We start from the raw sequence: 16,828 nt of genomic DNA, 5'->3' as shown, positions 1-16,828 counted from the left end.
GGGGACCCCTGCTGTAAGTGGTCCACAAACCAGATAATGTGGCTGTCCTCTCTCATCCATCACAGTCACCCCCAGGGGGTATTACTTCCCTCTAACAACTCACTGTGTGATAGGCTTTCTTACTGAGGGCAGATTCTGCACATTTATTAATATTATCACTATGCTTACTGTGCCATATAGTACCGGATACGGGATGAAGTCATACAAGCACTGAATGAATGGATGAATGAATGATGGATGAATGGATGACACCTTCTTATATGTGTATCAGGCTGATGCTGAAGACTTCAAAGTTGAGTAAAATACCTATGTCAGTCTGCATCTCCTGGGAAGTGACTGCCAAGTTGAAGTTAGGAGTGCAGAAAATGTATTGAGGGTAATATTCATAAAATATGAAACAGAGGAAGAGCTTCTTTTTTTTTTTTTTTTTTTTTTGGGACAGAGTCTTGCTCTGTCACCCAGGGCTGGAGTGCAGTGGCGTGATCTTGCCTCACTGCAACCTCCTTCCCCTGGGTTCAGGTAATTATCTCGCCTCAGCCTCCAGAATAGCTGGGATTACAGGCACATGCCACCAAGCCCGGCTAATTTTTTTTTTTGTATTTTTAGTAGAGACAGGGTTTTGCCATGTTGGCCAGGGTGGTCTTGAACTCCTGACCTCAGGTGATCCTCCCGCCTCGGCCTCCCAAAGTGCTGAGATTACAGGTGTGAGTCACCACGCTCAGCCATGAAGAGCCTTTTGACAATAGCGTGTGTCTGACCTCTGTGAACAGAGAGCGGGAAGGAGGGAGGATAGGGCTGGGAGAGTCTCAGATGGTGATGCATCCCTGAGTCTTGGCCAAACCCAGAAAGAGATCAAGGCCACGGTTGTCTGCAGGGAAGTTCTGCATTGCAAAGGGACGGCCAGGCATCTACCAAGCTCAGTCATAGGTGGGGGCTGTCCAGGGAGAGTCAGGTTTTGGCTGGAATGCTACAGCAGGTCCTGCAGTTTCTGCAGCTGCAGGCTGCCTGCTGACTGCACTTCCCTGACAGATTCTAAACAGTGAGCTGCCAAGGGCTTCTGGGATACCTTCATGGGGAGTTAGTTACTTATGTCAAAATGTAGTGCAAGGGCTGGGCATGGTGGCTCACGCCTGGAATCCCAGCACTCTGGGAGGCCGAGGCAGGCAGATCACTTGAGGTCAGGAGTTCGAGACCAGCCTGGCCAATGTGGTGAAACTCCATCTCTACTAAAAAAAAAAAATACAAAAACTAGCTGGACGTGGTGGTGGGTGCCTGTAATCCCAGCTACTTGAGAGGCTGAGGCATGAGAATTGCTTAAACCCGGTAGGTGGACTGCACTCCAGCCTTGGTGACAGAGCAAGACTGTCTCAAAAAAAATGTAGTGCAAGGAGAGAGAGCGAGGTTGGGGTGAGGTTTAGGAGAGGGTTTGTCTTCTAGGCAGAGAGAATTACTTAGATGCGTCTCTCCGATGTCTAATGATCTGCAGGGTCTCTAAACTCACTTGGCATAGGTTTATTTGCACTGGAGTTGCACCTCCTTCCAGGTCAGTCTTACAAGTCCATATGCGAGACAACGTTGTGTCAGGACAAACATCACCCTTGGAAATCCCTTCCTCCAATAACTATTGGCCGGTTGTCCTTCTTGCGCGGGTACAGACTGCGCTTATTCAGTTGACTGTCTGGCTGAGTCAAGTCATTGGCTTACGTGAGTGTGAGTGGCCAAGTTGCAAAACTGGCTCTTACCTTTGAATCTTCCCCCATTCATACTCAGCCAGGCACATGGGGAGGAGACCCTTAAGGGAATAGCAGCGTCACCTCTGCCTTCTCACGGTCCCTCCAGGAAGTGTGGGGGTCCCAGGCTTTGGTCTGAAACTACACTGAAATAGCTCATTTTTGCCTTTTGTTTTAACTTTTCCAGGTGAAAATGAGTTACTTAAATTTTCTTACATTCGGACATCTTTTGACAAGATCTTGCTGAGATGGGAGCCGTACTGGCCCCCCGACTTCCGAGACCTCTTGGGGTTCATGCTGTTCTACAAAGAGGCGTAAGTAGAAGAGTTAGAGAGACGCTGAGGAGGCGAGGGCTGGCTGGCTCTGTGCTTGCTACGTTTGTGCTCCAATCTGCCCCTCTTGGGTTCCTGTCTATCTCCCTCCTCCTCCTGGAATAAATATCTTAGGTTCCTTTTTACAATCTCACCAGTCGATGGCATGCAAAGTCAATAGTGTCTGCTTTTATCAAATGCCTAAAATGGAAGCAGACAGCTTTCCCATAGAAGCCCGGACTGGCCAGTTTCCTGGGGCAATATTCTATTTTGCCTTGCCTGTGTATGTCTCATCAGACATCCTTAGTAGTCAGGAGCTCAGTCTACTAAGTGGATGTTATCAAATGTATTGCTTATCTATTTTTCTTTTTTATCCCCAATTTTTTTTTTTTTTTTGAGACAGAGTCTTGCTCTGTTGCCCAGGGTACAGTGCAGTGGCAGATCTTGGCTCACTGCAACCTCTGCCTCCCGGGTTCAAGCAGTTCTCCTGCCTCAGTCTCTTGAGTAGCTGAGATTATGGGCATACACCATCACACGTAGCTAATTTGTGTATTTTTGATAGAGACGGGTTTTGCCATGTTGGCCAGGCTGGTCTCAAACTCCTGACCTCAGGTGATCTGCCCACCTTGGCCTCCCAAAGTGCTGGGATTACAGGCATGAGCCACCGCACCTGACCAGTAGTAATATTAATAATAGTTCTAGCCCTCAAGATTTACCTTGTGCCTTGCTGAGCACTGACACACAGTCTAATCTTATCAGTAACTTGTGAGGGAGCTCCTGCTATTACTATTATTACAGATTGAGTATCCCTAATCTGAAAATCTGAAATTTATAATGCTCCAAAATCCAAAGCTTTTTGTGGGCCGACTTGATACTCAAAGGAGATGCTTATTGGAGCATTTCAGATTTCAGATTTTTAGATTAGAGATGCTGAACCAGTACAATGCAAATTAACTAGTAAAATGCAAATATTTCAAAACCCCAAAATATCCAAAATCCAAAACACTTCTGGTCCCAAGCATTTATTTATTTATTTATTTATTTATGTTTTTGAAACAGAGTCTCCCTTTGTCGCCCAGGCTGGAGTGCAGTGGTGCGATCTCAGCTGATGCTACCTCTGCCTCCCGGGTTCAAGCAATTCTCCTGCCTCAACCTCCTGAATAGCTGGGATTACAAGCATCTGCCACCATGCCCAGATAATTTTTGTATTTTTAGTAGAGACGGGGTTTCACCATGTTGGCCAGGCTGGTCTCGAACTCCTGACTTCTGGTGATCCGCCATTCTCGGCCTCCCAAAGTGCTGGGATTACAGGCGTGAGCCACTGCACTTGGCCAAGTCTCAAGTGTTTTGAATAAGGGATGCCCAAGCTGTGTTTTTTCATTGAGATGTCAGGGTTGACAGTTCCTTTCTCTTTGGCTGTTCCCGAGTTATTTTTTCTTGTGGCATTAGATTGTTGGGTGAGTAACATGTGACCCTATGGGATGTAACTTCCCAGGCCTCATCTGCACGGCACTCAGTGTGACGGTCTTGTAAGGGTAACTGCCTTCTGCTGTTTTGTCTTGAAAGCCCTTATCAGAATGTGACGGAGTTCGACGGGCAGGATGCGTGTGGTTCCAACAGTTGGACGGTGGTAGACATTGACCCACCCCTGAGGTCCAACGACCCCAAATCACAGAACCACCCAGGGTGGCTGATGCGGGGTCTCAAGCCCTGGACCCAGTATGCCATCTTTGTGAAGACCCTGGTCACCTTTTCGGATGAACGCCGGACCTATGGGGCCAAGAGTGACATCATTTATGTCCAGACAGATGCCACCAGTGAGTGTGTCTTGGGAATGTGAATTCGTATGTGAATCAGACCTCTTGCTTTTAATAGGCTGATGCAGTGAGGTTGTATAAAATGCTCCTTGATATGGTTATTGGCTTTTTTTTTTTTTTTAGACAGGGTCTTACTTTGTCACCCAGGCTAGAGTGCAATGCAGTGGGGTGATCATGGCTCACTGCAGCCTCAAACTCCTGGGCTCAAGCAATCCTTCTGCCTCAGCCTCCTAAGTAGAAGGAACTACCAGAGTATACCACCATGTGTGGCTTTTTTTTTTTTTTTTCTTTGAGATGAAGTCTCACTCTGTCACCCGGACTGGAGTGCAATGGCATGATCTCGGCTCACTGCAACCTCCGCCTCCCAGGTTCAAGTAATTCTCCCACCTCAGCCTCCTGAGTAGCTGGGACTACAGGCATGCACCACTATACCCAGCTAATTTTTGTATTTCTTGTAGAGACAGAACGTTGCTGTGTTACCCAGGCTGGTCTTGAACCCCTGGCCTCAAGTGATCCTCCTGCCTCGGCCTCCCAAAGTCCTGGGATTAGAAGTGTGAGCCACCTTGCCCAGTCAGTTATTGGCTTTTAAAGGAGCTGGGTATTGAGGCTTATAGTTTCAGACGAGGCAGTAGCAACAAGCCACTTGATGGGAATATTTATATTTTTCATCCTATTATGAAAAATTGTCAAATATTCACAACACAGAACAAAACCCCATAGTTAGCCGCCTCCCAGCTTCAGCCTTTGGTCATTTTTGTTTCATCTCGACGCCTGTTCCCTCTTCCCACTTGTTACTTCTTTTTGTTTTGTTGTTTGTTTTGGCCTGGAGTATTTCACAGCAATTTAATTATGTTTGTTTGTTTGAGATGGAGTCTCACTCTGTCACCCAGGCTGGAGTGCAGTGGCGCCATCTGGACTCACTGCAACCTCCACCTCCCAGGTTCAAGTGATTCTCCTGCCTCAGCCTCCCAAGTTGCTGGGATTACAGCACACTTGGCTAATTTTTGTTTTGTTTTGTTTTGTTTTTTGAGACAGAGTCTCACTCTGTCACTGAGGCTGGAGTGCAGTGGTGTGATCTCAGCTCACTGTAACCTCCCCGTCCCAGTTCAAGTGATTCTCCTGCCTCAGTCTCCCAAGTAGCTGCAACTACAGGCGTGCCACCACGCCCAGCTAATTTTTGTATTTTTAGTAGAGATGGGATTTCACCATGTTGGCCAGGATGGTCTCAATCTCTTGACCTGCAATCTGCCCACCTTGGCCTCCCAAAGTGCTGGGATTACAGGCATAAGCCACCATGCCAGCCTTTTTTTTTTTTTTTTTTTTTTTTGAGATGGAGTTTCGCTCTTGTTGCCTAGGCTGGAGTGCAATGGCCCTATCTCAGCTCACTGCAACCTCTGCCTCCCGGGTTCAAGCGATTCTCCTGCCTCAGCCTCCCGAGTAACTGGGATTACATGCATGCACCACCACGATTGGCGAATTTTTTTTTTTTTTTTTTTTTTGTAGAGACAAGGTTTCTCCATGTTGGTCAGGCTGGTCTCGAACTCCGAGCCTCAGGTGATCCGCCTGCCTCGGCTTCCCAAAGTGCTGGGATTACAGGCATGAGCCACCGCGCCCAGCCATTTTTGTATTTTTAATAGAGATGGGGCTTCACCATGTTGGCCAGGCTGCTCTGGAACTCCTGACCTCAAATGATCCGCCCACCTTGGCCTCCCAAAGTGCTGGGATTACAGGCATGAGCCACTGGGCCCGGCCTAATTATATTTTTGTAAAACCTAAGTGCTTCTCTTATAGCAGTAGTTCCCAAAGGAGGTTAACTGCTCTGCCAGGGAACAGCTGCCAATCAATGTCTGGAGACATTTTTGGTTGTTACAGCTGTGGAGATGAAACCACTGGCATTTCGTGGGCGGAAGCCAGAGAGGCTGTTCCATGTCCTGCAACACACAGGATGCACCCTCCTTCATGACAAAGAATTATCCAGTCCTAAAAGCCAATAGTACTAAGGGTGAGAAACCCCGTCCTGTAGGCTCAAATTCAAGCTTTTTTTTTTTTTTTTTTTTTTTTAACGGAGTTTCACTCTTGTCTCTCAGGCTGGAGTTCAATGGCGCATTCTCAGCTCACTGCAACCTCTGCCCAGGTTCAAGATTCTCCTGCCTCAGCCTCCCAGGAAGCTGAGATTACAGGCGCCCACCACCATGTCCAGCTAATTTTTTTTTTTTTTTTTTTTTTTTAGTAGAGATAGGGTTTCACCATGTTGGCCAGGTGTAGTCTCGAACTCCTGATCTCAGGTGATTCAGATGATTCGCCCACCTCGGCCTTCTAAAGTGCTGGGATTACAGGCATGAGCCACTGTGCCTGGCCTCGAATTCAAACTTTATAAATCAACCCTATCTTCTTCAGTTAATCCCCGCTCATTCATCCTGTATCTTTTAGTGACACCAAAAGACTTACAGTTTTCAGAAACTTCTAGCTCCCAGGTGTTTGGACTCCCTCCCCATCCCCAGCTCCCTCGGCCACCTCCGTTACTTTGGGTTTTTTGGGTTTTGTTTGGTTGGTTGGTGGTGGTTTTTTTTTTCTTTTTTGTTTTGTTTTGTTTTGAGACGGACTCTTGCTCTGTCACCCAGGCTGGAGTGCAGTGGCGCAATCTCGGCTCACTGCAAGCTCCGCCTCCCAGGTTCACGCCATTCTCCTGCCTCAGCCTCCCAAGTAGCTGGGACTACAGGCGCCCACCACCACACCTGGCTAATTTTTTGTATTTTTAGTAGAGACGGGGTTTCACTGTGTTAACCAGGATGGTCTCGATCTCCTGACCTCGTGATCCGCCTGCCTTGGCCGCCCAAAATGCTGGGATGGGTGCCCTCATGATGTCTTTAACTTGTGTGTCCCCCGCCATCCTCCCACCAGCTTTCTTTGCACACTGTTTCTCATGATGGACCCATTTCCTTTCTCCCTGACAGACCCCTCTGTGCCCCTGGATCCAATCTCAGTGTCTAACTCATCATCCCAGATTATTCTGAAGTGGAAACCACCCTCCGACCCCAATGGCAACATCACCCACTACCTGGTTTTCTGGGAGAGGCAGGCGGAAGACAGTGAGCTGTTCGAGCTGGATTATTGCCTCAAAGGTGAGTGCAGGCAGCTGTGCTAGGATCGGTGGGGTTTGCACACGTGTGTCTGATGCACTTTGCTTCACCTCTAGGGAAGCAGCTATCTCTTCCTGTGTCTCAGTGTCGGAAGGCACACACACACACACTCCATTCTATCTCATATGAAAACACACATACATGTTTTTATCTATTTATTTATTTATTTTATTTTTTATTTATTTACTTTTTTGAGATGGAGTTTCACTCTTGTTGCCCAGGCTGGAGTGCAATGACGCGACCTTGGCTCATCGCAACCTCCACCTCTCGGGTTCAAGTGATTCTCCTGCATCAGCCTCCCGAGTAGCTGGGATTACAGGCACGCGCCACCACGCCCGGCTAATTTGGTATTTTTAGTAGGGACGGGGTTTCTCCATGTTGGTCAGCCTGGTCTCAAACTCCCGACCTCAGGTGACCTCAGGTGATCCACCCACCTTGGCCTCCCAAAGTGCTGGGATTACAGGCATGAGCCACCACACCCGGCCTATTTTTTTTTTTTTTTTGAGACAGGGTCTTACTCTGTTGCCCAGGCTGGAGTGCAGTGGCATGATCTCTGCTCACTGCAACCTCCACCTCCCAGGCTCAAGCAATCCTCTTGCCTCAGCCTCATGAGTTGCTGGAACACCACAATTGTCTGCAGGTGTGCACCAGCATGCCCAGGTAATTTTTTTTTTTTTTTTTTTTTTTGAGACAGGGTCTCACTCTGTCACCCAGGCTGGAGTGCAGTGGCATGATCTCGGCTCATTGCAACTTCTGCCTCCCAGGCGCAAGCGATTCTCCTGCCTCAGGCTCCTGAGTAGCTGGGACTACAGGCGCCTGCCACCACACCCGGCTAATTTTTGTATTTTTAGTAGAGATGGGGTTTCACCATGTTGGCCAGGCTGGTCTTGAACTCCTGACCTCAAATGATCCACCCGCCTCGGCCTCCCAAAGTGCTGTGATTACAGGCATGAGCCACCACGCCTGGCCCTGGCTAATTTTTAAACTTCTTTTTGTAGAGATGGAGTCTCCTTATATTGCCCAGGCTGGTCTCAAACTCCTGGCTTCAAGCAATTCACCCCCCTCAGCCTCCCAAAGCGCTGGGATTACAGGCGTGAGCCACTATGACCGGCTCATACATACACATTTTTAAACATCGTAACACAAGCACGCACTGAAGACTTGTGTCAAAACCAGATTTTTCCCATGTCTTGGCACCATTTCCCTCTGGGATTTTCTCCTCTTGTCTCTCCTTCTTTCTCCCTCCCTGCCTTCCTTGTTCTCTTCATCCCTCCTCACACTGATGGGGATGCAGCTGTGTTAACCCACGCAAGACTTCTGTGCAAAGCTAGAAACACAACTAATGGTTATTGACAAAGTCAGGGAAGGATTTTGGCCCCACTGAGATCCTTTAGTTGTAAGGATCGAAGGCAGCAAGAATTGGTTATCTCATATCCCCCACCCCATACTTTCAATTAAAAATGTCTGCCAGGCTTGGCGCTCATGCCTGTAATCCCAGCACATTGGGAGGCCAAGGTGGGAGGATCACTGGAGGCCGGGAGTTTGAGACCAGCCTGGGCAACATAGCAAGATCCCATCTCTAAAAAAATTTAAAAAAATGGTGGTGTACACCTGTAGTCCCAGTTACTTGGGAGGCCCAGGCGGGAGGATCTCTTGAGCCCAGGAGTTCAAGTCTGCAGTGAGCTATGATTATTCCAGTGCACTCCAGCCTGGGTGACAGAGCGAGACCCTGTCTCTATATATATAAAAAAAATTATACAAAATTAAAAAAAAAAGGCATTAAGTGCATTCACAATGTTGTGCAATCATTTTATTGTATAAAAATTATAAATAAAATTTATAAATAATTATATAAATAATTTTATTATAAAACTTAATGACAAATTTTTCTTAATCTTGTTTACTTAATAGACCTCCATCCATCTGAAGGAAAATGGAATAATATTTAAAGTCTCAAACTAGTGTGTATACATTAGTTTAAAATTATTATTATTATTATTTTCTTTTTTTTTTTTTTTGACACGGAGTCTCACTCCGTCACCCAGGCTGGAGTGCAGTGGCTTGATCTTGGCTCACTGCAACCTCCGCCTGCTGGGTTCAAGCGATTCTTGTGCCTTAGCCTCCTGAATAGCTGGGATTACAGGTGCTGCCACTACACCGGCTAATTTTTGTATTTTTAGTAGAGACGGGGTTTCACCATGTTGGCCAGGGTGGTCTTGAATTCCTGACCTCAAATGATCCACCCGTCTCAGCCTCCCAAAGTGCTGGGATTACAGGCGTGAGCCACCGCGCCCAGCCTAAAATTATTTTAACATTGGGTTTTTTTAGAACCCACCAAACTGGAGAAGCATCTGTCACTTTTTTCTTTTTCTTTTTCTTCTTCTTTTTTAAGATGGGGTCTCACTCTGTTGTCCAGGCTGGAGTGCAGTGGCACAATCATAGCTCACTGCAGGCTTGAACTCCTGGGCTCAAACGATCTTCCCGCCTCAGCCTCCTGAGTAGCTGGACTACACAGGACTACAGGCCTGAGACACTATACCTGGCTAATTATTTAAAATAATTTTTTAGGCCGGGCACAGTGGCTCATGCCTGTAATCCCAGCACTTTGGGAGGCCGAGGCGGGTGGATCACCAGGGGTCAGGAGTTTGAGACCACCCTGGCCAATATGGCAAAACCCCGTCTCTACTCAAAATACAAAAATTAGCCAGGCGTGGGCCTGTAATCCCAGCTACTCAGGAGGCTGAGGCAGAAGAATCGCTTGAACCCGGGAGGTGGAGGTTGCAATGAGCCGAGCTTGCACCATTGCACTCCAGCCTGGGTAACAAAAGCAAAACTCCATCTAAGAAAAATAATAATAATAAAAATAATAATAATTTTTTAGAGGTGGGGATCTTGATATGTTGCCCAGGGTGGTCTCGAACTCCTGACCACAAGCGATCCTCCTGCCTCAGCCTCCCAAAGTGCTGGTATTACAGACCTGAGCCACTGCGCTGGGCCCATTTCCTTCTTTAGTTTTGGTTTCCTTGTGCATCTTGATGTATTTTTCTTGAGATATTTTCTGTTAGTGATATCCTCGGTCCATGACCCTGGAGGAGAAGGCCAGGGGGCCACTGGCGAGGTGTGGCTGAGGCCAGGAGCTCAACATTTGCTCTTGGCTCTGGCCCTGACCTGCTGAAGGGCTTTGGCTAAGTTCCCAAGCAAGTCACCGTCTGCCTCCTTTTTGGGAGAAGGGGCGGGAGGACAGATGATCTCTGGGAGCTGTCCCAGCTCTAAGCTCATATGCTATATGTATGTGTGTGACATCATCCCCGCCTGAGCCGAGGGTTGCAAACGTGATTTATCTGCTCTGATGCTTTATATAACTCCAGGGCGAGTCCAGTCATCAGCTCCGCTGTAAGCTGTTGGCCCTGCATTCAAGTAACCAGAACCACCCGTGAGAGCTGCCACCAGTAATGTCACTCGAAGCTTCCTTTTTTTTTTTTTTAATTCCGAAAGTCTAAATCTGTAATTACCAAGGGACCATTTAAACATGGTTTTATTTGTAATTGTCACAAAGTTAATATCATTAAAAGGAAACTCACTAAGGACAAATTCTGTGTGATTTCACTCCTAGGAGGTCCCTAGAGTCCTCAGATTCATAGAGACAGAAAGTAGAATGGGGAGTGCCAGGGACTGCGGAGGGGACGGGTTGAGGACAGAGTTTCAGTTTGGGAAGATGAGAAAGTTCCGGAGATGATGGTGGTGATGATTGCACAACATTGTGAATGCACTTAATACCACAGAACTGCACACTTAAAATGGTTGAGATTTACCGGGCACAGTGGCTCACGCCTGTAATCCCAGCACACTGGGAGGCCGAGGTGGGGTGGATCACTTTGAGGCCAGGAGTTCGAGACCAGCCTGGGCAACATGGTGAAACCCCGTCTCTACTAAAAATACAAAAATTAGTTGGGTGTGGTGGTGGGTGCCTGTAATCCCAGCTACTCAGGAGGCTGAGGCAGGAGAATCGCTTGAATCTGGGAGGCAGAGGTTGCAGTGAGCCGAGATCACGCCATTGCACTCCAGCCTGGCAACAGAGCAAGACTCCACCAAAAACAAAACAAAACAAAAATTGAGATGGTAAATTGGTATATTTTATGTGATGCTTATTTTTCCACAATTTCAAACACACACACACACAAATAAATAAGCTTACAAACCCTTCCTGTTAATATCACTAGTGTATATGTTGTTACCACGGTAAAATATACATCACATACAATTTATTATTATAACCATGTTTAAGAGCACAGTTGAGCTGCATTAAGTGCATTGCCGTGGTTGTGCGGCCATTACCACCATCATCTCCAGAACTTTCTCATCTTCTCAAACTGAAACTCTGTCCCCATGAAACACTCACTCCCCTTCTCCTTCCCCCAGCCCCAGCACCCACCATCCTCCTTTCTGTCTCTGTGAATCTGATTCTAGAGACTTCATTATGCTCATTTTTCTTTTCTTTTCTTTTTATTTTTTTGAGACGGAGTCTCGCTCTGTCACCCAGGCTGGAGTTCAGTGGCGTGATCTCGGCTCACTGCAAGCTCCGCCTCCCGGGTTCACGCCATTCTCCTGCGTCAGCCTCCCGAGTAGCTGGGACTACAGGCGCCCGCCACCACGCCCGGCTAATTTTTTGTATTTTTTAGTAGAGACGGGGTTTCACCATGTTAGCCAGGATGGTCTCGATCTCCTGACCTCGTGATCTGCCCACCTTGGCCTCCCAACGTGCTGGGATTACAGGCGTGAGTCACCGCGCCTGGCCCATTATGCTTCATTTTTCTAATCTCAGGAAAACCACAGTGTACCATGTTTCATGCAGTGGATTCTAGGAAGAGGTAGCAGGTATCAGGAATGATACCTGTGCCTGAACAAATATCCCTTCCTCTCCAAATAATAATAATAATAATAATAATAATAATAATAATAATAATAATACCAGGAGCTTCCCTTATTCAGGCAGTTCTACATTTTTTTTTCCATCTGTAATGCTGTAACTAGCTCCCATCAGAGTTAACCCAGGCAGGGTATTCTATGTCTATTTATAAACTTAAGAAGTATTTTCCAGTCTCTCATAGGCTTTTAAAGCTGTGTAAATACTTGGGTTTCCGAGTGGATACTCACCATTCACAGGAAGGTACTTGATACACGATTTAGAGCTTATTGTCTATCCTCGAGGCATTAAGGGGAGGAGAGAAAATGGAATTTCCTTTGCTCAGCAGTCACCAGGCACCAAGCAGAGTGGCAGCAGGGGAGGTGGCTCTCCAGGGACTGTTGCAGATTTTGCTTGTAAAGAGCTGTGTCCGTCCATCTCAGTGGCTGTACCAGAGGCATAACTGTGCTTGCACCGTGGGTCACAAGAACCCTGGGATTTGACTTCGGGGCTTAAGACATGACCAGCTGCGGTACTTAAGTATTGTAGGCTGGGTGCGATGGCTCATGCCTGTAATCCCAGCACTTTGGGAGGCCAAGGCGGGCAGATCGTTCGAGCTCAGGAGTTTGAGATCAGCCTGGCCAACACAGCAAAACTCTGTCTCTACCAAAAAAAAAAAAAAAAAATACAAAAATCGGCTGGGCGCAGTGGCTCACGCCTGTAATCCCAGCACTTTGGGAGGCCAAGGCGGGTGGATCACCTGAGGTCGGGAGATCAAGACCAGCCTGGCCAACATGGCAAAACCCCGTCTCTAATAAAAATACAAAAAAAATGCCAGGCGCAGTGGCTCAAGCCTATAATCCCAGCACTTTGGGAGGCTGAGGCGGGTGGACCACCTGAGGTCAGGAGTTCAGACCAGCCTGGCCAACATGGCCAAACCCCGTCTCTACTAAAAATACAAAATTAGCCGGGCATGGTGGTGCACGCCTGTAGTCCCAGCTACTTGGGAGGCTGAGGCAGGAGAATGGCGTGAACCCGGGAGGCAGAGCTTGCAGTGAGCCGAGATAGCGCCACTGCAGTCCGGCCTGGGCAACAAGAGCGAGACTCCATCCCAAAAAAACAAAAACAAAAAACAAACAAACAAACAAAAAATTAGCCAGGTGTGATGGTGCATGCCTGTAATCCCAGTTACGGGGAGTGGAGCTGAGACAGGAGAATCGCTTGAACCCAGGAGGCAGAGGTTGCAGTGAGCCAAGATTGCGCCACTGCACTGCAGCCTGGGCGACAGAGCAAGACCCCATCTCAAAAAAAAAAAAAAAAAAAAAAAAGAGAGAAATAGTATTGTATTTTGTATTTTTAGGACTGCTACCTTTATAAGCTACTGGTGTTCTTCTTCATTTATTAATTTTTAAATTCCCTTTTCTATGCATGTTTGAAAAGTTCCTTCCTCTATCTCCTCTCATGCCTTTAGGTCAGGGTTTCTCTGTCTTGGTGTTTTTTCTGTCTGGCGTTGGATCATTCTCTGGGGTGGGACTGTCCCGAGCACTTCAGGGTGCTCAGCAGCATCTCTGGTCTTCACCCATTCCATGCTCCAGGAGGACGCCCCAGCCAGGTCCTGACACCTAAAAATATCTCCAGATGTTGCCCAATGTCCCTAGTAGGAGACAAAATCACCCCCTGGGTGAGAACCATTCACTGATCAAGTCTGATTTCTGGACTCATGAATGGACCCCTTAGAATTCCATGTGGAGGCCCAGTGTGGTGACCCAGGCCTGTAATTCCAGCACTTTGGGAGGCCGAGGTGGGCAGATCACATGAGGTCAGGAGTTCCAGACCAGCCTGGCCAACATGATGAAACTCTGTCTCTGCTAAAAATACAAAACATTAGCCAGGGTGGTGGCAGGCGCCTGTAATCCCAGCTACTTGAGAGGCTGAGGCAGGAGACTCACTTGAATCCAGGAGGCGGAGGCTGCAGTGAGCCAAGATCACGCCACTGCACTCCAGCCTGGGCGACAGAGCAAGACTGTCTCAAAAAAAAAAAAAAAAAAAAAAAAAAAAGAATTCCATATGGCATTCTACTCTGCCCTCCCATCTTATTTGTGTGGTTGATTAATTGATTGATTGATATTTTCATGCAGCTGTGACCTGGCTCCTTCTCCTCCTCCTTCTTCTCCTTCTTCTTTCTTTTTCTTCTTCTTCAACATGATTTCACTCTGTTGCCCAGGCTGGAGTGCAGTGGCCCCATCTCAGCTCACTGCAGCCTCGACTTCCCAGGCTCAAGCAATCCTCCTACCTCAGCCTCCTGAGTAGCTGGGATTACAGGCGCACACCACCATGCCTGGCTAATTTTTGTATTTTTTGGTAGAGACGGAGTTTCATCTTGTTGGCCAGGCTTATCTTGAACTCCTGGGCTCAAGTGATCCTTCCCCCTCAGCCTCCCAAAGTTCTGGTATTACAGGCAAGAGCCACTGTACCTGGCCCCCTTTATCTTTTTCTAACCCCCTCCCACCATTCTCTCTCTCACCCCCTTCCAGCTATATTGGTTTCCAGAGATTTTTTTTTTTTTTTTTGAGAGATGGAATGCTTCCTCTGTCACCCAGGCTGGAGTGCAGTGGCGCAATCTTGGCTCAATGCAACCTCCGCCTTCCAGGTTCAAGTGATTCTCCTGCCTCAGCCTCCCAAGTAGCTGGGACTACAGGCATGTGCCACCACGTGCAGCTGATTTTTGGATTTTTTAGTAGAGACAGCGTTTCACTATATGTTGGCCAGGCTGGTCTCGAACTCCTGACCTCAAGTGATCCTCCTGCCTCGGCTTCCCAAAGTGCTGGGATTACAGGAGAGGGCCACCACGCCTGGCCAGACGTTTTTTAATGTGCCAAGAAAATTCCTGTCCTGGGGCCTTTCTGCTGGGTTTCTGCTATGTCTGAATTGCTTTACACCACGATATGTGGATGGTGCTTTCCTTTGCTGAATTCAGGATGTCTCAGTGGTGACTTTCTTTGAGACCCCTTCATGAAAATGGCACCCGCAGACACCCACTGTTCTTTTACCCCAACATCTGACCTGTGACTGTGTATTTATGAGTTTATTGTAGACTGTAAGTCCACTGAAGACAGAAGCATTGTCTGGTTACCTTATAATCTTCAGTCCTGTGATTATGGTGTCGGGCAGTTGTTGCCTTTTTTTGAGACAGAGTCTCGCTGTTGTCGCCTAGGCTGGAGTGCAATGGCTCAATCTCGGCTCACTGCAACCTCTGCTTCCCGGGTTCAAACAATCCTCCTGCCTCAGCCTCCTGAGTAGCTGGGATTACAGGCACCCACCACCACGCCCGGCTAACTTTTGTATTTTGAGTAGAGACGGGGTTTCGCCATGTTGGCTAGGATGGTCCGGACCTCCTGACCTCAGGTGATCTGCCCGCCTCGGCCTCCCAAAGTGCTGGGATTACAGGAGTGAGCCACCGCGCCCAGCCACCTGGCAGTTTCTATTAGGTTGGTGCAAAAGTAATTGTGGGCCGGGTGCAGTGGCTCACGCCTGTAATCCCAGCACTTTGGGAGGCCAAGGCGGGCAGATCACGAGGTCAGGAGATCGAGACCATCCTGGCTAACACAATGAAACCCCATCTCTACTAAAAATACAACAAATTAGCCGGGCGTGGCAGCGGCCGCCTGTAGTCCCAGCTACTCAGGAGGCTGAGGCAGGAGAATGCCATGAACCCAAGCGGTGGAGCTTGCAGTGAGCCAAGATCGCGCCACTGCACTCCAGCCTGGGTAACAGAACGAGACTCCATCTCAAAAAAAAAAAAAAAAAAAAGTAATTGTGGTTTTTTGCCATTACTTTTAATAGCAAAAGCTGCAATTACTTATGCACTAAACTAATAAAACATGTTGACATGCACTTCTCAGATGACACTCTAGATACAGATATTTTATTTATTTATTTATTATTTTTTTGAGACGGAGTCTCGCTCTGTCACCCAGGCTGGAGTGCAGTGGTGCCATCTCAGCTCACTGCAACCTCCACCTCCCAGGTTCAAGCGATTCTCCTGCCTCGACCTCCTGAGTAGCTGGGATTACAGGCATGCGCCACTACACCTGGCTAATTTTTGTATTTTTAGTAAAGACGGGGTTTCACCATGTTGGCCAGGCTGGTCTCGAACTCCTGACCTCAGGTGGTCTGCCTACCTCAGCCTCCCAAAGTGCTGGGATTACAGGTGTGAGCTGCCTGGCCTATTTTTATTGGTTATTTTACTTTATTTTTAGTAGAGACAGGGTTTCACCACATTGCCCAGGCTGGTCTTGAACTCCTGGGCTCACGTGATCCTCACACCTCGGCCTCCGAAAGTGCCAGGATTAAGGGTGTGAGCCACTGTGCTCGGCTATATTTTTAATCTTTTGAGACAGGGTTCTACTCTGTCACCCAGGCTGAAGTGTAGGGGTGCAATCATAGCTCACTGCAGCCTCGAACTCCTGGGCTCAAGCGATCCTCTCACCTGAGCCTCCCAAGTAGCTGGGACCACAGGCGTGAACCATAGTGTCTGGCTTTTTTCCAAAGCGGAGCTCAAATCTAGGCTCTGTCTCAGCTCAGCCTCTCTGAGAAGGCCCCCTTCACTGTGTGTGTGTGTGGTGCGTGTGTGGTGTGTGTGTGGTGTGTGGCGTGGGTGTGGTGGTGTGTGTGATTTGTGTGGTGTGTGGTGTGTGTGAAGTGTGTATGTGGTGTGTGTGTGGTGCGTGTATGGTGTGTGTGGGGTGTGTGGTGTGTGGTCTGTGGTGTGTGGCGTGGGTGTGTGTGGTGTGTGTGTGATTTGTGTGGTGTGTGTGCGGTGTGTGGTGTGGTGTGTGAGGTGTGCATGTAGTGTGTGTGTGGTGCGTGTATGGTGTGTGTGTGGTGCGTGTGTGTGGTGTGTGGTGTGTGTGGTGTGTGTGTGGTT

General features: G+C 48.0%; 1 protein-coding gene across 4 annotated transcripts in view; it reads left to right on the top strand.

Moving 5' to 3' along the window:
• The window catches only part of INSR (insulin receptor), a 182,150-nt gene that overhangs the window by 124,403 nt on the left and 40,919 nt on the right, over positions 1-16,828 (top strand). For all 4 annotated transcript variants that reach the window (XM_011527989.4, NM_001079817.3, XM_011527988.3 and 1 more), the window contains exons 7-9: positions 1,918-2,044; positions 3,608-3,858; positions 6,813-6,980. In XM_011527989.4, the coding sequence (XP_011526291.2) occupies positions 1,918-2,044; positions 3,608-3,858; positions 6,813-6,980 (546 nt within the window). The remainder of the gene's footprint in view (positions 1-1,917; positions 2,045-3,607; positions 3,859-6,812; positions 6,981-16,828) is intronic.

This window comes from Homo sapiens, chromosome 19 (assembly GCF_000001405.40).
Source record: "Homo sapiens chromosome 19, GRCh38.p14 Primary Assembly".
Taxonomy (NCBI): Eukaryota; Metazoa; Chordata; class Mammalia; order Primates; family Hominidae; genus Homo; species Homo sapiens.
Note: the sequence above shows the minus strand (reverse complement) of the source record. Positions and strands in the feature narration are given on the sequence as shown.